We start from the raw sequence: 24,055 nt of genomic DNA on the forward strand, positions 1-24,055 counted from the left end.
GAAATTTGGGAAGGGACACAGATTCAAACCTTATCAAAGCATACCCTTTCTTGTTTGTATGAGAAACAAGAAATGAGGTTTCCCTCCAACTGGACCCTTCTCAATCTCCTCGTAAATAATCCAGATTTTCAGGGTTCAAAATACTTCAGAGCTATAAAGTAGAGACTGCTGAAAGATGTATTCATTCCTCCAGGCCTCCTAGGTGCTATTTAAAATGTTATTGCTTCATATCCCGTAATAGAAGCTGAAACCTTATTGATGGCCTTTCTCCTGATTGTTTGTATGTGGAGGGTGAAGGTTTGGGAATAAAGAGTTGGTGAACTAGAACAGAACACTGAATTAACTCTTTCAGCAAGGCTTAAAATAAAGGAGTTTAGTCTTATAAACTCTAAAGCCTAAAAGATACTGAAGCTTCCAGAATGAATCAGTAGCTATGACAGTGTCATTAGATGCAATAATTACTGGAGGGGTGAAAACCTTGTTGATGCTGACTGAAAATAGGTACATTTAATACTTCTTTTATAGCAACATTTCCAATACTGTACTAATGTGAATATTAACATAGTGTCTGTGTATTAAAATATGCACATTCTGGTTATATAGAAGAAACTTCAAACAGCCATCTTTTTATTATTAATAAAAGGTTAATCAGGTTTATGTTAACATCTTCACTTCATAGATTGGTCTGTTTGCAATAGGGAAAGAAATGAGACCATCAATGGCTAGCTTAAAAAATTCTACCTATAATAATAAACAAATATGCATGAATATAGAGGCAGCCTGAATAGTAGGTATATTTTGGATCTGGTGTAACTAGATACATGGGAAGAAAGCCCTGATTTGTAGCATTTGCCAAGCTATATGGTGCAAATATTTCTACCATGTTTGACTTCTGGCTACCACATGGCATCACAGAATGCGAAGTTGGGAGGAGATACACCCAGTTGGTTCTGTGAGATGTATGAGCGAGTCCTACATCATTGTTTATAATTCTTGGAAAGCCAGTTGGGTGGTAGGTACTTGGATAAGCCTTCTTATAATACTATAGGAAACAAGGGCAAATTTTATTGGCAAGGTCTGTGGCAGAGTCATGTAATGTGCATTGAATCTCCATTTACTCCCTGATAATTCTCATCGGCCAATGGACTGGGAGCAGAGATGGAAACATTTAAAAGTTGTGGAACCCCTCAGCCCTCTCTTCCCTTACTACTGCCATCAGAGAGGTCGCATTCCCAATGGTGCAGATACAAGATGGTGTAACCCATATCAACCTGTTTCCATGAATGTCTGTGTGGAGCCCAATGCCCATTCACCCACACTGGGTATGTACGATGCTTCAGTTTGCTACTACTGCCTAACAAGCTATCCCATACAAAATGGTTTAAAACAACAATTTGTTGTTACTTCTCCAATTTTATGAGTTGGCTGGGCTCACCTGGGGAGTTCTTACAGTCTCGCTTAGAGTCTGTCCTGTGGTTGTGTTCAGATGGTGCCTGGGTCTGGGGTGCTTAGGAAGCTTGACTGTGATTGAACTAAAGATGCTTCTTTGCTTATGTCTGGCACTTTGGTGCTCCTCTGCATAGAGGTTCATTCTTCAGATATTTTATATTGTGAATGGCTCCAAATGCAGTATCAGGAAGTGCCCGGATTTCTAAGGCACTGGGGAGAGCCACAGTGTCACTTCTGCCACACTTATTTCTGTACACTTCCTTGTTTAAAATGAGTCATGAGATCGTGCAGAGTCAGAGTGGGAGGTAACTTTCCAAGGGTGCGATTGCCAGGAGGGAAGAGTCATTGGGAGCCCTTTTTGGAGACTAGCTACCACATACCATGAGTAAGAAACAAACCTTTGTCATGTTAAGCCACTTAGATTTCAGGGTTAATTTGTTCCCTTGGCAAAAACCTAGCCTAATCTGATTAACCCAGAAATTGGTACTGTATTAGTGATGATAAGCTAGAAAAAACAAACGCCCAAATATCTGTGGCTTAACACATAGTCCCCTGGGGATCTGATGACACTCCAGGACTGCGGCCTTCTAATGGTGACTCAGGGGTCCACGCTGCTTGCCTTTTGTTGGTTCACCATCCAGAACATGTGACTTCTAGCTAACTGGTGCAGAGGAAAGAGATCCTGGGGACTCATAGGTCTTCAGTACCTATTAACCAGAACTAGTCATGTGCCCCCTCACTCCAGCTACAAACAGGCTGAGAAATTGTGGGGAGCATGTGGGCATTTGGTGATTAGTAGATGTCTTGGTCATAATGTGATGTGGGATTCTTGGCCTCTTTTTTTCCTCCCTTCCCCTTATCTTATCCTCTGTAAGAAATTTAAAAGAAAGAAAGAGATAGAGAGAAGGAAGGAGGGAAAATAGGAGGGAGGGAAGAAGAAAGGAAGGAATGAATGAGGCAGGAAGGGAGAAAAAATGGAAGGAAGAATACCGGCAGGAATTTGCTCTATAGGATGTAAAATGCAACCACTAAAACTACTAAAAAAAAATACTATCAACAGATACTGCTAAATAAAAACTATTAACAAAGAACTGTAATAGCAGAGGCTTTCACTGTGTTTTTAACCTGTTTCATTTTCCTTTTTAATCAGCAATGATAAGGAAACTAAACTGGATTAAGTGCTATCATCTTGGAGGTGCAAAGGCAAACAAGGAGAAAGAAGTGATTGAAGAGCACTTCAGAAAGCTTGGTACATTCAAATCAGCAGGGCTTGATTACTCGCATCCCAGGACACTTAAGGAATTGGCAAATATAATTGCAAGACCACCAGCCTTTATTTTAGAAAATGAAGGTTGGACAGAAGAAGGTCCTGACAAGTAAAATCAGCAGATGGAGTACCTGTTTTTTAAAAGAGGGAAAAGGACAGCTGTAGTAATTATAGACTATTCAGTTTATCTTGGATACCTGGGAAGATACAAGAGCAAATCATCAAACAATCAATTTGCAACCACCTAGAAGAGTACAAGCTACTGGGTCGTAATCAACGTGATTTTGTGAAGTGCAAATTATGCCACACCAATTTAATTTTATCTATGATAGAGTGATGAGCCTGGCAGAAGAGGGGAAAGCAATATCTACAACTGGACTTCAATAAGGTTTTTAATTTTCATTTTTTTATTTAAAATATTCCATTTCCTGGCTTTTTCAGCATCAATCTTCTGAGAGGATGCTACTTGAACAGCAGTTGGGTAGGCATGATTCTGGGTAAAACCCTCAAAATGGTAAAAACAAGGATTCTACTCCAGGTTGACATAGGTATTAGTAGTAGTTGTTATTATTATTATTATTATTATTATTATTATTATTTTATTTTTTATTTATTTATTTTTTTTGAGACGGAGTCTCGCTCTGTCGCCCAGGCTGGAGTGCAGTGGCGTGATCTCCGCTCACTGCAGTCTCCGCCTCCTGGGTTCATGCCATTCTCCTGCCTCAGCCTCCCGAGTAGCTGGGACTACAGGCACCCGCCACTACGCCCAGCTAATTTTTTGTATTTTTAGTAGAGACGGGGTTTCACCATGTTAGCCAGGATGGTCTTGATCTCCTGACCTCGTGATCTGCCCGCCTCGGCCTCCCAAAGTGCTGGGATTACAGGCGTGAGCCACCGTGCCTGGCCATTGTTATTATTATTTTAATCAATTGATGTAGACAAAGATGACAGTAGTGAGGTGAAGATGGCATTCTCCATCACTGATGAGAAATATGACAGAAAATAGAAGATGTAAAAACTCATTTAAGGGGTCCAACAGCTAAGTAATATGAGATCCAGAAGTGGAGAACAGACAAAACGGTATAAGGGACATTACTCGAGAAATTATATAAGAAAATTTCCGAGAAAAGGACACATTTTTACATTAAAATAACCCTCTAAGTGCCAACTGTGATAAATGGGGAAGATAACCCACTTGGACATAATTTTGTAAAATTTTAGAACTCTAAGAATAAACAAAATTTTTGAAAGCTTTGAGAAGGAAAAATTAGGCCACCTATAGAGGAATGTAAATTGAACAGCCAAATTCTCATTAACATCTCTGGCTGCTGGAAAATAATAGAGTAGTCCTTTCAGTTCTGGGAGAAATTAAATTTGAAACTAATTTACATATCCAGCCTACCTATCAATCAACTGTGAGGGTAGAATGTTGGTGTTTCATACAAACCAGGACTTGTAAAATTTACTTGGAAAGACTCCTTTTTTAAGTTATTTGAGCATGTATTCCAGCAGGATGAAGAAGTTACCCAAGAAAGATTAAGGCAAGGGATCTTTCTAACACGAGAAAGGAAAGTAGTGTGTGATAAAAAAAAAAAAAAAATCATCCATTTTGAAGTAGGAGGACAAAGAGTGCCAAAGAGAAGGACTCTGGGACAAAAGAATTGCATGTAGTCCATAGTGTTACTAGGAGAACAACAACAACAAAAGTTTTAGTATATGATAAACTATATATTTAGTCAATAAAAAGATAGGCAATTAATAATTCCAGAAAAACAAAAAGCCAGTTGAGTATGTTATGGCCCAATTTAGAAGAATAACATATAATTTTCAGTAATTTAGGGAGTGTAAGAAAAAGACTAGTACATGGTGCTAAGACATTTTTCATTGAATATATGAAGGGTATGATAAACATATGAAGATATGACACTGCCCTCATAGAAAGGAAAATTGCATTCCTAATATGCTACCTAGTTCAGCAGTGCACAATATTGATGTAGTCTTACTAATGTAATTACTTTTTGTTGTTGTTGTTTTAACTACAGTCACCATCCTGTATATTAGATCTCTAGAATGTATTCATCTTCTAAGTTAAAGTTCATCCTTTACAGTCAACTTAAGGACAAAGAAAGGAAGATCTTGATTATTTTGCAAAAAAAGGCAAGCATTATTCTTCATAATATAAAAGTATAGCTGACAAAAGGTGGGAAGTGGAAAGAAGGAAATATGAAGAGAAGGATAGTATCATAGATACCTGCAACTTCTATAATCTGAAGTCAGGATACTGACTCAAGTTTTTGGAATGAAAAATTGATGTGTAGCATACTATTTTAAGTTAAAGGGTAACCACAACAAAACTTAAAAATAATGACATAACTACCTAACACTGAAGGAATTGGGAGGAAGAAGAAAACATAAATGAGCTAAATTCTTATCTTTTATACCTGGAGGCCATTAGATAACCAAGAAATTGGAAAGAAGAGTGATTTTTTCCAAACACTTCATATATTCAAAGCATGCATAATTCATGAGTAGTTTTTTTATAGGCAGATCTGTATGGTCATGGGGGTATAATCTCAGAGCACAGGTGCAGACAATCTCTGTAGCATAAGGACACATTGTGTTACGAATGATCTTGCAGCCATAGCATTTTTTCCATTTCATTATCCATGCCCAGTTATAAGATTGTATTTGCAAACTTAAAGTTGTATTTGCTTTAATACTCTCTTAAATTTTCCCGGAATTATCTTTGATATTTCACAGAGTACTGTCTCCAAAATTTAATAGCTTGGTACACGGCCATGTGGCCTTTATCTAGTGTTTTATTGTCTCTGACTTCTGTTCCAAAAGAATATATTTTCAAGATTGGGTTATTGTTCTCACTGAATTAAATGCTCACTGGAACTTGCTCCTTAGATGACCTTGTTATAGAATAAAAACTATTTATACATTGTAACTCTAAAAATTAAAATAATAGGCCGGGGGTGGTAGCTCACACCTGTAATCCCGGTACTTTGAGAACTTGAGGTGGGAAGATCACTAGAGCCCAGGAGCTTGAGACCAGCCTGGGCAACAAAGTAAGACCTCACCTCTACAAAATATTATTATTTTTTTTATTTAAAGAACTTTTTTTTTTTTGAGACAAAGTTTTGCTCTTGTTGCCCAGGCTGAAGCACAATGGCACGATCTCAGCTCACTGCAACCTCTGCCTCCTGGGTTCAAGTGATTCTCCTGCCTCAGCCTCCCGAGTAGCTGGGATTACAGGCATCCGCCACCACATCTGGCTAATTTTTGTATATTTAGTAGAGACGGGGTTTCACCATGTTGAGCAGCCTGGTCTTGAACTTCTGACCTCAGGTGATCCACCCACCTCGGCCTCCGAAAGTGCTGGGATTACAGGCGTGAACCACTGCGCCTGGCCCCTTAAATACATTTTTAAATAATTGAGATGAGCTATGATCATGCAGGGTGAGACACTGTCTTAAAAAATTAATTAATTAATTTAAAATTACAATTGAAATTAAAATAACAACATCAGCCAGGTGCAGTGGCTCACGCCTGTAATTGCAGCACTTTGCGAGGCCAAGGCAGGTGGATTACTTGTGGCCAGGAGTTCAAGACCAGCCTGACCAACATGGTGAAACCCCATCTCTACTAAAAATACAAAAATTAACCGAGTGTGATGGCAGGCATCTGTAATCTTTGCTACTCAGGAGGCTGAGACATGAGAATCGCTTGAACCTGGGAGCTGGAGGTTGCAGTGAGCCAAGATCGTGCCATTGCACTCCTGCCTGGGTGATAGAGTGAGTGAGACTACATCTCAAATAATAATAATAACAATAATAAGTTAACAACATAAAAGTCCATTGAACCACTTCTAGATTTAAATTTACATAACTTTTCAATAATAGCATGGTCTACAACCCACTGTTAAATGATGGCAGGTGCAAGTAAAACCTCATTGTAACTCAGTAAGTAGGGTCTACAATATTCAATTCCATAACATGTGATGCCAATTTAGTACAAAGTTAATAAAATGACTAAGATGATCCTGCTGCAAAAGGACAGGAGCCAATCACCAAACTCGTCATATCCAAATTCATGTTATCAAAGAGGACATAATTACAAGTTCCATTGTACTTCTGATTACCAGCTAAAGTGGCATGCCACATAGCCACAAAGATTAAGACAGTTGCCATTCTTACTGCCTCTTAGCTTTGAAATTGTGCAGCTTTTAAAAAATAACTTTTTATTTTTATTTATTTACTTATTTATTTAATTTTTTTTTTTTTGAGACGGAGTCTCCCTGGGTAGCCCAGGCTGGAATGCAGTGATGCCATCTTGGCTCACTGCAACCTCCGCCTCCTGGGTTCAAGCGATTCTCCTGCCTCGGCCTCCTGAGTAGCTGCAATTACAGGCGCATGCCACCACGCCTGGCTAATTTTTATATTTTTAGTAGAAATGGGGTTTCACCATGTTGGTCAGGCTAGTCTCGAGCTCCTGACATCGTGATCCACACGCCTCGGCCTCCCAAAGTGCTGGGATTACAGGCGTGAGCCACCAAGTCCAGCTTATTTATTTATTTTTTGAGACAGAGTCTCGCTCCTGTCGCCCAGGCTGGAGTGCAGTGGCACAATCTTGGCTCACTGCAACCTCCACCTCCCAGATTCAAGCAATTCTCCTGCCTCAGCCTCCAAAGTAGCTGGAATTACAGGTGCCCACCACCATGCCTGGGTAATTTTTGTATTTTTAGTAGAAACAAGGTTTCACCATGTTGTCCAGGCTGGTCTTGAACTCCTGACCTCAGGTGATCCACTGGCCTCAGCCTCCCAAAGTGTTGGGATTACAGGCGTGAACCACCGCACCCGGCCTAAAAAATTACTCTTGACAGGAGTTAAATGATTTCAAATTTTGCACAAAACTGGGACTTTCTTATTTTTAAAACATTTATTTTTATTTATTTATTTATTTATTATTTATTTATTTTTTGAGACGGAGTCTTGCTCTGTCACCCAGGCTGGAGTGCAGTGGCGTGATCTCAGCTCATTGCAAACTCTGTCTCCTGGGTTCAAGCAATTCTTCTGCCACAGCCTCCCAAGTAACTGGGACTACAGGTGTGTGTCACCACATCTGGCTAATTTTTGTATTTTTAGTAAAAATGGCGTTTCACCATGTTAGCCAGGTTGGTCTTGAAATCCTGACCTCAGGTGATCTGCCCACCTCGACCTCCCAAAGTGCTGGGATTACAGGCGTGAGCCGCTGCGCCCGGCCTATTTTTTTTATTTTTTATTTTTTTATTTTTATTTTTTAGACAGAGTCTCGCTCTGTCGCCAGGCTGGAGTGCAGTGGCGTGATCTCAGCTCACTGCAACCTCCACCTCCCAGGTTCAAGCAATTCTCCTGCCTCAGCCTCCCAAGTAGCTGGGACTACAGGCACACACCACTACGCCTGGCTAGTTTTTGTATTTTTAGTAAAGATGGGGTTTCACCATGTTGGCCAGGATGGTCTCGATCTCTTAACCTCATGATCTGCCTGCCTCGGCCTCCCAAAGTGTTGGGATTACAGGCATGTGCCACGGCACCTGGCCTATTTTTTTAATTTTTAAAAAATTTTTTTCAGAGGTGGGGTCTCACCATGTTGCCCAGGCTGGTCTTAAAAACCTGGGCTCAAGTGATCCTCCCACCTCAGCCTCCCAAAATATTAGGATTACAGGAGTAAGTCACTGTGCCTGCCAAAGCTGGGACTTTCTTACTAGGCCAGTTATACTATTTCAAATATTCATTATTCTTTGTTTGCTTGTTTTTGAGACAGGGTCTTGCTCTGTTGCCCAGGCTAAGTGCGAGTGGTACGATCAGGGCTCACTGCAGCCTTGACTTCCCAGGCTCAAGTGATCCTCCCACCTCAGCCTTCCAAGTAGCTGGGACTACAAGCACACACCACCACACCTAGCTAATTTTTTTTTTGTAGAGACAGTGTCCCTCTATGTTGCCCAGGCTGGTCTCGAACTCCTGCACTCAAGCTATCCTCCCGCCTCAGCCTCCCAAAATGTTGGGATTACAGGCGTGAGTCACACCACTCTTAGCCTTGTTATTCCAACTTATGTAAAATATGAGCATATCATAAAAGAGCAGTATTTATTTTAAAAGTTTTGGGTGAGAGAGCCTCTTTACAACTAGAAAACTAAAAGCAGAAATGTTTAAGAGAGGCCTGGCACAGTGGCTCATGCCTGTAATCCCAGCACTTTGGGGGGTCAAGGAGGGCAGATCACCTGAGGTCGGGAGTTCAAGACTAGCCTGACCAACATGGTGAAACCCCATCTCTACTGAAAATACAAAAATTAGCCAGGTGTGGTGGTGGGCACCAGTAGTCCCAGCTACTCGGGAGGCTTAGGCAGGAGCATCACTTGAACCCAGGAGGCAGAGGTTGCAGTGAGCCAAGATAGCACCACTGCACTCCAGCCTGGGCAACAGAGCAAGACTCCATCCAAAAAAAAAAAAAAAAAGAAATGTTTAACAGAAAGTCTCACACAAACCCACAGCTAACATCATACTGTATGGAGAAAAGTTGAAAAGTTTTCCTCTAAGATCTGGATCAAGACAAGGATGTCCACTTTCATCACTTTTATTCAACATAGTCCTAGAACTGCTAGCCAAAGTAATTAGGCAAGAGAAAGAAATAAAAGACTTCCAAATTGGAAAGGAGGAAGTCAAATTGTCCCTGTTTGCAGGTGACATGATATTATGTATAGAAAACCCTAATGACTCCACCAAAAAAACTGTTAGAACTGATAAACCAATTTAGTAAAGTTGCAGGATGCAAAATCAACATACAAAAATCAGTAGTGTTTTTTTATGCCAATAATGAACTATCCAAAAAAGAAATCAAGAAAATAATCCCATTTATAATAACTAATATATATAAATATATAAAATCTAGGAATACATTTAACCAAGGAGGTACAATATCTCTACAATGGAAACTATAAAGCATTGATGAAAGAAATTGAAGAGGATACAAATAAATGGAAAGATATTCTGTGTTCATGGACTGAAAGAATTAATATTGTTAAAATGTACATACTACTCAAAGTGATCTACAGATTCAGTGCAATCCCTGTCGAACTTTAAATGACATTCTTCACAAAAATAGAAAAAAATCAATTCTACAATTTGTATGGAATCACAAAAGTTCCCAAATAATCACAGCATTCTTGAACAAAAAGAACAAACTGGAGACATCACACTATCTGACTTCAAAATATACTATACAAAGCTATGATAACCAAAATAGCATGGTATTGGCATAAAAATAGACACATAAATCAATGCCACTAAATAGGAAACACAGAAATAAATCCACACACAGCCAGCTGATTTTCTGTGATGGTAGCAAGAACATACATTGGAAAAAGGACAGTGTCTTCAATAAATGATGTGGGGAAAACTGAATGTCCATATGCAGAAGAATGAAACTAGACACCAAACTCTCACCATATACAAAAATCAACTCAAAATGGATTAAAGACTTAAATGTAAGATCTGAAACTATAAAACTACTGGAAAAAAAAACATAAGGGAAATACTTCATGACATCGATCTGGGGAAAGATTTTTTTGGATGAGAACTCAAAAGCACAGCCGGACGCAGTGGCTCATGCCTGTAATCCCAGCACTCTGGGAGGCCAAGATGGGTGGATCACCTGAGGTCAGGAGTTCAAGACCAGCCTGGCCAACGTGACGAAACCCCATCTCTACTAAAAATACAAAAAAATTAGCCAGGCGTGGTGGTAAGTGACTGTAATCCCAGCTACTTGGGAGGCTGAGGCACAAGAATCGCTTGGATCCGGGAGGCTGAAGTTGCAGTGAGCTGAGATTGCACCATTGCACTCCAGCCTGGGTGACAGAGTGAGACTCCCTCTCAAAAACAAAAAAAAAAAAAAGCACAAGCAAAAATGGACAAGTGGAATTACATCAAACCAAAAAGCTTCTGCACAGCAAAGGAAACAATCAACAGAGTGAAAAGACAACCTATAGAATGGGAGAAAATATTTACAAACTGTGCATCTGACAAGGAATTAATATGCAAAATATATAAGGAATTCAACTCAATAGCAAAAAATAAATAATCCAGTTTAAAAATGGGCAAAAGACCTTAATAGGCGCTTTTCAAAAGAAGACACACAAATGGCCAATAGGAAAAATGTAGGCCAGGCGTGGTGGCTCATGCCTGTAATCCCAGCACTTTGGGAGGCCGAGACAGGTGGATCATGAGGTCAAGAGATTGAGACCATCCTGGCCAACATGGTGAAACCCCGTCTCTACTAAAAATACAAAAAATTAGCTGGGCGTGGTGGCGGGTGCCTGTAGTCCCAGCTACTCAGGAGGCCGAGGCAGGAGAATGATGTGAACCCGGGAGGCGGAGCTTGCAGTGAGCTGAGATGGCACCACTGCACTCCAGCCTGGGTGGCAGAGCGAGACTCCATCTCAAAAAAAAAAAAAAAAAAATTAACTGGGCATGGTCGTGGGCGCCTGTAGTCACTGCTACTTGGGAGGCTGAGGCAGGAAAATTGCTTGAACCCGGGAGGCAGAGGTTGCAGTGAGCCAAGATCGTGTCACTGCATTCCAGCCCGTTGACAGAGCAAGACTCCGTCTCAAAAAAAAAAAAAAGAAAAGAAAAAAAGACTTCAAGGAAAATATTTGTTCTTGAGGAGCTAAAAAGATAACAAGATAAACATATGCAACTCTGCTTCTCTCTTTCTTTCTGTTTCTCTCTCTTTCTGTTTCTCTCTCTCTTGCATACCCTTCTATGTAAGGGAACAATAATTCTTTTCAACATCCTTTAATGTAAGCCACCTCTTGAACACACAATAGCTAAGAAAATCTGTTAAGTTTTAAAATTCATGACAATGACTGGTTTCTTAATTATGTAGGGAGAAACATTTTGAGACTGTCTCTGTATCTTGTTTTGGTGGTGATCATTTTTTTTCATTCCCATGACTGCAGGAATATTGATCTCAGCGTTACTTTGACCATTAATGAATTATGATGGCAATAAGCAAAGATTCGCACCTCTAGCCTCCGGGGAGCTTAATCTTCTGCTACAACATTTGCATTTGTAAGTCAGCACCTGTGTAATCTATATTCTATTTGTTATTCTCCTTTAATTACATATTGGTAGTGGTCCATTTGCAGGCTGGGAGCAACCAACTGGAGCATCAAAAAGATTATTAAAATATTGACTTCAAATTAAAAGGCCAAAAAGGGAACAAGACAGGGTTTGTTTCTACCCAGTCCGTTATGATGGTTCAGGAACAATTATTTCCTTTCATCTCATGAAAAGTTTCAAGAATTGTGCAAGGAACTCCCATATGCCCTTTACATTCATTCATTATTTATATCTTGCCCCACTTGCTGTCTTGCTTTGTGTTATCTATGTAAGCCATAGTTCAAATGTAAATTCAGATTTTCTCAATTGTTCCAATGATGTCCCAATAATTGATTATAAACTAATTTTTTCCCCAGGTTAGGATCCAGTCTAGGATCATGCCTTGTACTGAGTTCCTATGTCTCCTTTGTTTCCTCTAATATGGAGAAATTTCTCTGCCTTTCTTAGTTTTCTTAATTTGACTTTTTTTTTTTTTTTTTTTTGAGATGGAGTCTTGCTCTGTTGCCCAGGCTGGAGTGCAGTGGTGCAGTCGTGGCTCACTGCAGCCTCCGTCTCCAGAGTTCAAGCAATTCTCCTGCATCAGCTTCACGAATAGCTGGGATTACAGGCATGCACCACCATGCCTGGCTAATTTTTTGTATTTTTAGTCGAGATGGGGTTTCACCATGATGGTCAGGCTGGCGAACTCCTGACCTCAGGTGATCCATCTGCCTCGCCCTCCCAAAGTGCTGGGATTACAGGCGTGAGCCGAGATCGCGCCATTGCACTCCAGCCTGGGCAACAAGAGCGAAACTCCGTCTCAAAAAAAAAAAAAAAAAAAAGTTGACCTTGATATTTTTTGCCTGGTCATGTGTAGCTCTTTTTGGAATAAGAAAAGTATTGTTATTTTATACAAAAATGGAGTGTCTTTGGTTTAGTAAATTGGTAATGTGGCATAAAAATATCTTAGAGGGGGATGAGTTATTCATCATTCGGTTCTAGATATTTTCTAATTTCTTTTGTGATTTAGTCTTTGTACCACAAGATATTTAAAACTAGGTCACTTAATTTGTGAATTTTCTTTCTTTCTTTTTTTTTTTTTCAAGACGGAGTTTTGCTCTTGTTGCGCAGGCTGGAGTGCAATGGTGCGATCTCCACTCACTGCAACCTCCGCCTCCCGGCTTCAAGCAGTTCTCCTGTCCCAGCCTCCCGAATAGCTGGAATTAGAGGCTCATGCCACCACGCCCGGCTAATTTTTGTATTTTTAGTAGAGACGGGGTTTCATCATGTTGGTCAGGATGGTCTCAAACTCCTGACCTCAGGTGATCCGCCCACCTCGGCCTCCCAAAGTGCTGGGATTACAGGCATTAGCCACTGCGCCGGGTCAATTTATGAATTTTCTAGTTACCTTTTTCCTAACGGTTTCTTTCTTTCTTTCTTTCTTTCTTTCTTTCTTTCTTTCTTTCTTTCTTTCTTTCTTTCCTTCCTTCCTTCCTTCCTTCCTTTCCTTTCCTTTCCTTTCCTTTCCTTCCTTTCTTTTCTTTTCTTTTCTTTCTCTCTCTCTTTCTTTCGACAGGGTGTCTCTCTACTGCTCAGGCTGGAGTGCAGTGGTGCGATCATAGCTCACTGCAGCCTCGACTTCCTGGGCTCAGGTGACCCTCTCGCCTGAAACCATATTCCCCCTCAAGTAGCTGAGACTACAGGTACGTACCACCACACCCAACTAATTGTTATTTTTTGTGGAGACGGGATCTTGCTTTGTTGCCCAGGCTGGTCTTGAATTCCTGGCCTCATGCGACCCTCCCTCTGCCTCCCAATGCACTGGGAGCCACCGTGCCCAGCCCTGTATTTCTTTTACAAGTGATGTTTTAGCATAATTCTGTGAAGCCCAGGGAACAGATTCTGTATGATTTCAGTAATGTGATAGTTCAGACTTGCTTTGTTGTCCAGCATACATCAATTTCATAAATGTTCCAAATACACTTGAAAAGGAAATGTTTTCTGTGGTTGTTGGTGGGAGTGTTCCTCTTGTCAATTGTGTCAAGTTTATTAACCTTGTTCAAGCCTTCTGTATTGTTAATGATTTTCTTATTTTTTGCTTGTTTTGAGTGTTTGCTTATTCTATCATTTATTGAGAGAGGGGTGTTAAAATCTCTCACTGAAAGTATGACTTCATTTCTTTCTTCAGTTTTTGCTATAAATATTTTGAGGCTAGGTTATTAGGATGAATTCAAATTTAGAATTCTTATATCTTCTGGTAAACTTAACCTTTTTCTCATAATAAAGTTTTCCTATTTATCTCTAGCGATACTTTCTGCTGTAACCACTAATTTAATATTAATATAGCTATACCTTCTTTCTTCTGGTTAATGCTTGCATCCGGTTTTTTTGTTTGCTTGTTTTCGTTTTGTTTTGTTTTTTGAGATGGAGTCTCGCTCTGTCACCCAAGCTGGAGCGCAGTGGCCCCATCTTGGCTCACCGCAACCTCTGCCTCCTGGGATTCCAACGATTCTCTTGCTTCAACCTCTCGAGTAGCTAGAGTAGCTGGGATTACAGGCACTTGCCACCACGCCCAGCTAATTTTTGTATTTTTGGTAGAGATGGGGGTTCACCATGTTGGCCAGGCAGGTCTTGAACTCCTAACCTCAGGTGATCCTCCCGCCTTGGCCTCCTAAAGTGCTGGGATTATAGGCATGAGGCACCGCACCAGGCCCATCCTTTTTTTATCCTTTTCCTTTTCCTATCCAATTATTTTTGATCATTTTGAACATTTCATATGGCTTTCCTTAATTTTTTTTTTTTTTTTTTTTTTTTTTTGAGACGGAGTCTCACTCTGTCACCCAGGCTGGAGTGCAGTGGTGCAATCTCGGCTCACTGCAAGCTCCGCCTCCCGAGTTCACTCCATTCTCCTGCCTCAGCCTCCCGAGTAGCTGGGACTACAGGGAGCCGCCACCATGCCCGGCTAATTATTTTTTGTATTTTTAGTAGAGATGGGGTTTCACCATGTTAGCCAGGATGGTCTTGATCTCCTGACCTCGTGATCCGTCCACCTCCGCCTCCCACAGTGCTGGGATTACAGGTGTGAGCCACCGCCCCCAGCCTCCTTAATTTTTTAATATTTCCTTTACATATATTTTCTCTGATTTTTAAAAATTAAATTATAGACATTGTGAATATTCAAACAAACATATCTCCAAAAATAATTCCTTAATATCATCTAACACCGAGCCCACACTCAGCTAACTCCAGTTGTTTATAACGTGACTTTTAGAACTGTGTGTGTTGGCCAGTCGCGATGGCTTGCGCCTGTAATCCCAGCACTTTGGGAGGCCGAGGAGGGCAGATCACGAGGTCAGGAGTTCGAGATCAGCCTGGCCAATATGGTGACACTCCATCTCTACTAAAAATACAAAAATTAGCCGGGCATGGTGGTGCACGCCTGTAGTCCCAACTATTCCGGAGGCTGAGGCGGAGAATTGCTTGAACTTGGAAAGTGGAGGTTACAGTGAGCCAAGATCATGCCACTACACTCCAGCCTGGGCAACAGAGTGAGACTCCATCTCAAAAAAAAAGAAAGAAAGAAAAAAGAACTGTGTGTGTCATTGCATTTAACTGTATGGCTCTTAGTCTTTTAAAATCTAAAATAAGCTAACTTAATTGATAAATTGTTATGTCAGGAGTGACCATAGGAAATGAAACAGATATTTTAAAAATCACTCTTAAAAATACATAAGGAATATATTCAGTACATCCCCTTTATAAGAAAAATCAGAAAGGTAGAGAATGTAGAAATAAGAAAATAAATATTTTTATGGCTTTTACCAATTGTGAGCATGACTACCTTCCTGATACATTTATCTCTGTCTAGCTCCTTATCTGTCAATACTTTTACAAGGTGAGACCATTCTGTATGTAATTCTACCTTTACTGTAGGCAGTTTTATATCTTGCTTTGTATCTTTAAAATTAATATGATTATAATTTTTTTTTTAAGAGACAGGGTCTCACTTTGTTGCCCAAGCTAGGCTGGAGTGCTGTGGCATGATCATAGTTCACAACAGCCTTGAACTCCTGGATTTAAGTGATTCTCCTGCTTCAGCCTTCCAACTAGTTGGAACTACAGGTGCATACCACTGCACCCAGCTCATTAAAAAAAAATGTTTTTATAGAATGGGATCACTTGCATTGTTGCCCAGGCTGGTCTCAAACTCCTGGCCTCAAGCTATCCTCTCACCTCAGCCTCCCAAAGCACAGGGATTACAGGCGTGAGCCACCACAACTTGCCAGTAATTGTATTTTTAATGGCTGCATATTGTACCATTAAGTGACTACGCTAATTTTGTAAACAAACATCTTCTGTTGAATATTTAGTTTTTTCCAATTGTAATTGTTAATAAAAATAAACATATTTTTAAAGAAATTTTAGTCTGCTTCACATTATAGCCTAATCCTAGACTCTTAAAAGTGATATTTCTTTTTTCTTTTTCTTTTTTTTTTTTTTCTTGAGACAAAGTTTCACTCTTGTCGCCCAGGCTGGAGTGCAATGGCACAATCTTGGCTCACTGCAGCCTCTGCCTCCCGGGTTCAAGCGATTCTACTGCTTCAGCCTCCTGAGTAGCTGGGATTACCGGTGCCCGCCACCATGCCCAGCCAATTTTTGTATTTTTAGTAGAGACGGGGTTTCACCATGTTGGCCAGGCTGGTCTCCGACTCCTGACCTCAGGTGATCCACCAGCCTTGGTCTCCCAAAGTGCTGGGATTACAGACATGATCCGTTGCACCCAGCAATGAAATTTCTTAATGCAAAGGTTTAACCTCTTTTAAAGCTTTCTAGAAAAGTGTTCCAAACTTTTAAAATTCCAGTGAGCTAAAGTTTACTACATTGAGATTAATGTCCTCGTCATAGCAGACACAGCCTGTGAGGCTTCACAGATACTTGTTTTGGACACCTGTTGTGGAAGCTGAAGATGCCAGATACTTTCCCAGGATCTCTTGAAGTGGGGGCACTGCCCTGCGACCTGGGATAGACCAATCCAATTGGCTCCCTCCAGACTGCGGCAGAGGCTGTTTAAACCAAGAAGTACAGTTGAGAATCCCTTTGGGGGATGCCTGTAGTGGCAGGAGCTGAGGGGTGCTGCATCTGATGTACAGAGCTGAGGTGGTGGCCATGAGGTCCAGCACTCAGTGCTGGTGGCAGCAGTGTCCTCACCAGTAAGGACTTAGGTATGATTTTGGCTCTGGCTGTGGCTGATTCTAGTTTTTCTTCTTCTTGCCCATTTACTGAGCCTGGTTGTCTAGCCTTTCCTGATCTTCTAAGTCCCAGTATCCTTCAATAAATTACTTTTCTATTAAAACTAGTCAGTTTGATTCTATTGCTTGCAAAGAAGAATTTGATGAATCTTCTATACAGGGATTCTTCTTCTGTGTAGCAAGGCCCATTTCAAATAGTAGGAGAATTGGCATGCTGAGGGGGTGCCAGGGTGATAGAGAGAGCTCAACGTGGTCACGTGTCAGGGCTGGGAGTTGGAAGAGCCCAGGTCAGTGAACTGGGACAATATTGGAATCTGAAGGTAAAAATAGCTTCTTAAGAAGTTAACATCAGCCAGGCACAGTGGCTCATGCCTGTAATCCCAGAACTTTGGGAGGCTGAGGCCAGTGGATCACAAGTTCAGGAGATCGAGATCATTCTGGCTAACATGATGAAACACCGTCTCTACTAAAAATACAAAAAATTAGCCGGGTGTGATGGCACACGCCTGTGGTCTCAGCTACTTGGGAGGCTGAGGCAGTAGAATCACTTGAACCCAGGAGGCAGAGGTTGCAGTGAGCCAAGATTGCACCATTGCACTCCAGCCTGGGTGACAGAGCAAGACTCCATCTCAAAAAAAAAAAAAAAAAAAAAAGAAAAAGAAGTTAACATCTATGGCCGGCCACACCTCCACAACTTTGGGAGGCTGAGGCAGGTGGATTACTTGAGGCCAGGAGTTTGAGACCAGCCTGGCCAACGTGGTAAAACCCTGTCTCTACTAAGAATACAAAATTATCTGGGTGTGGTAGTGCATGCCTGTAGAACCAGCTACTTGGGAGGCTGAGGCAGGAGAATCGCTTGAACCCAGGAGGTAGAGGATGCAGTCAGCTGAGGTTGTACCACTGCACTCCAACCTGGAAAACAGAATGAGACTCTGTCTCAAAAACAAAACAAACAAACAAAAAAGTATGATTTTTGGGCATGCAGTCTGTATGGTAATAGAATGATTCAGGGGCTGATTCAGGAGTCCAGCTCTTGTAAATGTGTTACTAGAAACCAGGTCTGGGAAGGTGACTAAACATTAAGCCTCTGAATGGACAAGAAGCCAGGCAGCCTAGGTTGAGATGGGTGTTGGGTCTGAGACTATACATGGGCAGGGGACAGTGGTAGACAGAGCTGTGCAGACTTGGAGTGGAAGCCAACAACCACCAGGGAAGGCCATGGCAACCACTTAGGAATTTCTTTTTGGCCATTTCTTCAGAACCAGTTTCCAAGTAATATGACAAAAGCAGCCTCATAATGTTAAGAGGTAAATTTTGTTTCTGACCAAAAACAGTATTACTCAGTTTGATATCTTTCCCGTAGGGATGGGCTTTGATAAATTTAGGCCATTTCAAAAATCCAGAAAACCAAGTCTGTAACCACTAGGGACATTCAGAAGAACATCGCCAGCTCTAAAGGCGATCTTTAGAATAGCTATTTATTTAGGCTTTGTGTGTTTCCAAAGTTAACCAGTGTTTCACATCAGCTATCTTCTCTAACCCTCTCAACAACCCTGAAAGGTAGGTATTAGTACCCCCATTTCATGGATGAAAGAACAGGCTGAGAAATTAATTATCAGATTAGATTGTAAATGAGTGGTAAAGCAAGAATTCAAACCCAGATCTGGTTCGCTTTTTCTGTAGGCAGTGTTTAAGGAGGATCCAGGAATACTTTAAGTGACGCCAGCGTTAGTGTTGCCTCCTCAGAAGACTGCTTTCAGGGGAACAGTATACATCTGCCCTGTAAATTCTGGATGGTAAATATGACAAAAACTCTCTCCTTGACCCAGCTCTAGTGAGACTGCTCTAAGCCCTCTTCTCAACATGGCTCAACCTTGGGCTTCAGTGTACATTTTGTTGGGCCTGCATTGCTCAGTTTTAGCAAGAGTCCAGTTAAGTGAAAGAGAATCTCACAGCTTTGATATCAGATTCTTCCATATCTAAACAAATTCCTCATCCCCTACCTTCAATATCTGATCACTCTGCCCTGTTTGCACCAAGAATCTACCCTCACCCTTGATGTCTCCTCTTAATAATTTTCCATCCACCAATCTCTCCCCACTCTTCAAACCTGCTCCTTGGCTATAAGTCCCTACCCCTTCTTGTCTTATTTGCAATAGAGCTCAGTTCTACACTGGGGTCTCTTTTTCCTGATTGCAATAGTTCCTGAATAAAATCTGTTTTTACCACTTTATCCACTGTCTAGCTCTGGTTTTCTTTACCAGAAGTCACAGTTAACACATGCGAAAACCCATTTGCAAAACAAATCCACAGGACTCGGTCCATGTGCTGTGAAGTCTTTGATTAAGGGCTTAAAAACAATGAAAAGTAATAAACGGATCTGAATACAATTCAGGCAATAAAACACTTTCATTGGTTTTCATACTCAGCAAAAGTATTTTTACTGATTAAAAGATAAATAATCCTCACTCTACTAACTCAATGACACATTGAAACATTAGCCTAACTTGTGCAACTTTCAGTGAAGCTACTCTCTTTGCGTAGGCATAGCCCTTTCTGCCAAGGTACAGGAGAGCAAACCCACGCATGAATTCCGTTCATCTCAGGGCATTTCTTTCTGTAGTTCTTAATGTGTCTTTGTGAAGGGACGCACACTCACAACAGCTGAAAATCTAACCCTCTAGATTTCATTTAGCTAACATCAGGCCAGTCTTCGGACTGAAGCTAATGCCCACATATAGGAGGAAGGGAGAGGAATCACTAATTGCAACCCTTTTAGACTTCCTCCATGATGAAGCAGAGGGGAGGACTATTGTTTGGGAGATGTGTGTGGGAGGTGAAGATTTCAGATTTTCTTTAAAATAATAATTGACTGCACAGGCAGCAGCAGAGCTGGCCTGTCCATTGTGGGATTGTCTCTGTGTTGGTATGAGGTCTGGCCAAGTTGGGGGCCTCAGCAGGGGATTGCTCAGTTGATCAAGTCTTAATTTGTCTTTTCCACCTTGGGTGGTGCTGTCTGTCCTTTTCATCTCCCAATCACCGACATGGTGGGAGATGTTGAGGGCAGTGCTGTGTTATCTTAAGGTTTCCTTCAAGAAAGCAAAACCAAACAAACAAGCAAACACTTTTTGCTTCCCAACTGTGCCCTCCTAGGGGAGATTCAAAGGCTCTTCTGAACCAGACAGGTGCTGATGTCTCTGCTGCCATTTGGATGTGGGTTTGGTGAAGGTGGCAGGAGTGAAGGGAAAGCAGAGGGAAGAGTTAGGCAGAGGGATCTTGATTGCCATTTCTTCCTGCTGCAGTCGCTTCAGACGGTTCAGCTTCCAGCCAGACAGTTCCTAATGGACCTGCACAGCATGCAAAAAAACCCTCCTTTGTAAAAATAACTTCTTTGATTTCTCCCAGCCTTGGGCCCTGTTTAGTTAGGGGCAATGACCGGGAGGCAAGTCATTTCGGGCCTTGCTGGTAGAGTGAGGGGGAGATCGCCCATGGCTTCCCCAGCTGTACTGCCTGTGGAGCAAAGGGTTCAGAAGCAGAGCATTTTTAAAAATATAATAATAAAAAAAAATGAAAGAAAGAAGCCCTCTTTGAAAATCCTTACTGTTTCCCACTATCTCCTACAGCGATTGCCCTTTCATTAGTGTGGAAATCCAACAATGTGGAAATCGAGTGTTTTTTTTTTTTTTTTGCTTTGATATCAGCCTAACCCTTGAGGCTAAACTTGTGGTAAGCCACCTATCCATGTTAGCTAAAATAAAGTTGTAGCTGGAATCACCACCTAGTCCTTTAGCAGTTGTACATTTTCATGTTTATCCTTTGAGGAGTGAGACAATAACTACATATTGTTTTATTATTCAGGATCCCCTGGGTTGCTGGCAACTGAAACCCAAATTGAATTTGTTTAAGAATAAAGGAGGAATTTATTGGGAAAATATTGGGATATTTTAAGTAACTGAAGGCGGGGTTAAGAGGTCAATCTATGAGAAAGACAAGGAACTAGCCAGAAATTTAACAATAAAATGAAATAAAACTGGAACCAGGACTCCAAGTGCTCCCTGGATTCCTTCTCTCTCTGTCTGCAGCTCTATCCCTCCTGGTATCCAGGGCTTTCTCTCTCATTGTAGATCTGAGTCTTACATACTGTGGGTTAAAACACCAACGAGAACCTGATTTTGTTTCTTAATTCTAGATAGAAAAGTCTTGGGGAAGGCTCTGACTGTGCTGGCTTCAGGCAGGGGCCCCAGCCAGGTCCAGGCAACTCTAGTTAGTGGAGGTGGGGTCATGTAAGAACATGGCCACACTCCCCGCATCCCCTGAACCACATGTTTAGAGGGCGGAAAGGAGCAATTCCAAACAGGGAGCTGCTTTCTTGGAAGGAAGGATGGGTTCTAATCAAAGCAAGCAGCAGTCATTTACTAAACATACATAACATACTTGCATATGGACTTGAGAAATGTTTCTTAGGGATTTTTGCCATCTTGGTAATAATCAGAGTCTTGGTAAAAGTCAGAAATCAAAAACCTAATCAGATGCATCTATATGGCAAAAACTATAAGATTCTTTCATTTGTTTGTTTTTAACTCGAAACTCCAAAGATGACAGAAGATATTGAGAATGGCTGGACCCACACTCTAAAGCAAACTAAATACACAGCAGTTACACTCATATTTATATGTACCATAGCGCACGGGACTTCAATGAGTTCTTATATTCACCTCAGTTTCTCCTCCCTAAGGAAGCAGTGACCACTGCGGATTGACGCAGCTAAGGGGGTTTTCTAGGCTTACTTGGATTGGATTCTCTTTGGCATGCTCACTGTTGTTTTTTTCTTGCTTGATTTGGTCTGAGCTGAGATGTCCACCCTTTACTGGAGGACTGTCATGTTGGAGACTTGCCTCTGCTAGCTCACTGGACGGGCTGTGCTCACTGTGGCCTCCTTACCTGGATGAGTCAGTCAGCACGCTCTCAAAGGGTCCTATCTCTTTCTGCATGGGTGGCTATCTCTGCAAGGGCTGTGATGGTGGGTAAAATGTCCAAAGACCCATAGGCAGCATGAAATGCACCAAATGTCCATTTACTCAACTCAGTGGTATCTGACATAAGACCACAGAACACACCTTCTCTCCACCACCCATCTTGCTTGACCCTACTTGCGGGTAGTATGTTGCCAGCAACCTGGATATTATTGTTAATTAATTCATGCCTAACATGCAGTGGCTTATACTGGGTATTATTGAATGTCTAAGAATAGGCACAGAGCCTGAAATTGAGAAGTGAAAACTGCAAAATGGCTGGGTGGAAAAAATGATGGGACATGGAGCAGGCCTTTTGGTATTTTCCCTGTAGTTATCTTTTACAGGTTAAATAAGATTAATATTCATGGTGAACCAAGAGCAATTAGCTACTTTGCATGTGTTACTGCTTCTTAGCCTATTCTAAACTCTGTTTTATGTATTTATTTTAAAGGACTTTGCCTTGATTAGGGCCATTCGTATAAGACCTTGTACTTTGCATATTTGCAATCATGTTTGCATGTTTGCATTTCTAAAGTTTTGAATTTCAAATCAGGCAACGAGTTTCAGCAAATATACTTCATGTACACATGACCGTAATCAGGGCGTGAGACTATACTACAATAAAATCCCAAAATGGCTTCTAGGAATAAAAGATTTTATGTTTTCTATTTATAATAAAAATTTGGGGTGAGGGTTGGCTTTATTTTAAAAACAGAATAATTCTGTATGTAATTTAAATGCAAAATTGCGAACTAGTATTTTTCTAATTGTATTCAAAATCTGAACCCCCTAATGGGGGCAAGGGAAGGTTGGAATATTCTTATCCATAATGATGACTGAACAATAGGCCTTTCCCCTTTTCTTTCCTCTGCTTCCCTGGGACAGCAGCGCCCACTGTCACGCACGTATCACTTACTCTCATACTGTTTTCCAGGATACTTGGCCAAGGCATCTTCTAACATGTTATAAGATGATTTCAGAAATAATTTTTATCAGATCATAGTTAATCTTTCTAACAGATCTATGAGGTAAACATCCCAGGCCCACTCGCTACAAATGTCAGGGCTGCGATTTTTAGCCAGATTTTTTTGACTTTTAATCAAGGACCTTTTTCACTTCATTTATATTTCTCAAATTAAAGTCTGAAGATCCTTGAAAGTCTTCAGTCGTATTCTGAAGGGGCCTTGAGTTCTCTGTGAGAATTCAATTTTGTATTTTCATTTTGATGCTAATAATCAGTGAAGATCAACATATTTTGGTTCATTTGGATGATCAACTTAACGGAGAGCTTCCACATACTTTCAGGGCCTGCATTTTTATCTGTGTTTAAGATTTTCTTGGTGACAGGGAGTGACAGTTTCTTTGTCATTGAAAAATCATTGTAAATAATTTTTAAAAAAACAAAACACACAGACATGTGAATGTTGTGTTCTCACCAAGTGAAGGTCCGATGACCTCATCACAGGATGTACAAAGGAAGGTTCTGCATAACGTAAATAGAGACAAGCAGTGGAAGCATTGAGTCACTGCAAAGCATGAGGCCAGCAGGCTGAACTCAGGAGAGCCTGGGCAGGGAGCACCACTTTCATGCCGTTGAGGGGAGTGACCATTCTGTATTTGTTCCATTAAATTAAAAGTATTCATTTGAATCGTATGACTTTCCTACATTTGTTCACCTATAAGTTTGTTTTGGTTTTATTGTGGCATGAAGTCTATATGAAAACATTCTTTGTATCTAGTTTTAAGTTTACATATATTAAAAATAACATTTTAATAAAAATCACTTAGGGATGACATCAGAGGTCCATGAGAATGTCTTTCCCTTAAAGACGGTCACACATTATTCCATCAGCACTCCATCATAGGCTAAGTTTCCAAAGAAGTTTTAGGAAAGAGGAAAGTATATTTGAGGGTTTTTGTTTTGTTTTGTTTTGT

At 40.9% G+C, this 24,055-nt stretch overlaps 1 long non-coding RNA gene across 1 annotated transcript in view; it reads left to right on the plus strand.

Moving 5' to 3' along the window:
- The window catches only part of TLE1-DT (TLE1 divergent transcript), an 87,188-nt gene that overhangs the window by 46,541 nt on the left and 16,592 nt on the right, over window positions 1–24,055 (plus strand). The window contains exons 2-3 of the long non-coding RNA NR_109772.1: window positions 11,715–11,826; window positions 13,433–13,559. This is a non-coding gene — a long non-coding RNA (TLE1 divergent transcript). The remainder of the gene's footprint in view (window positions 1–11,714; window positions 11,827–13,432; window positions 13,560–24,055) is intronic.

Source organism: Homo sapiens, chromosome 9 (assembly GCF_000001405.40).
Source record: "Homo sapiens chromosome 9, GRCh38.p14 Primary Assembly".
Lineage (NCBI taxonomy): Eukaryota > Metazoa > Chordata > Mammalia > Primates > Hominidae > Homo > Homo sapiens.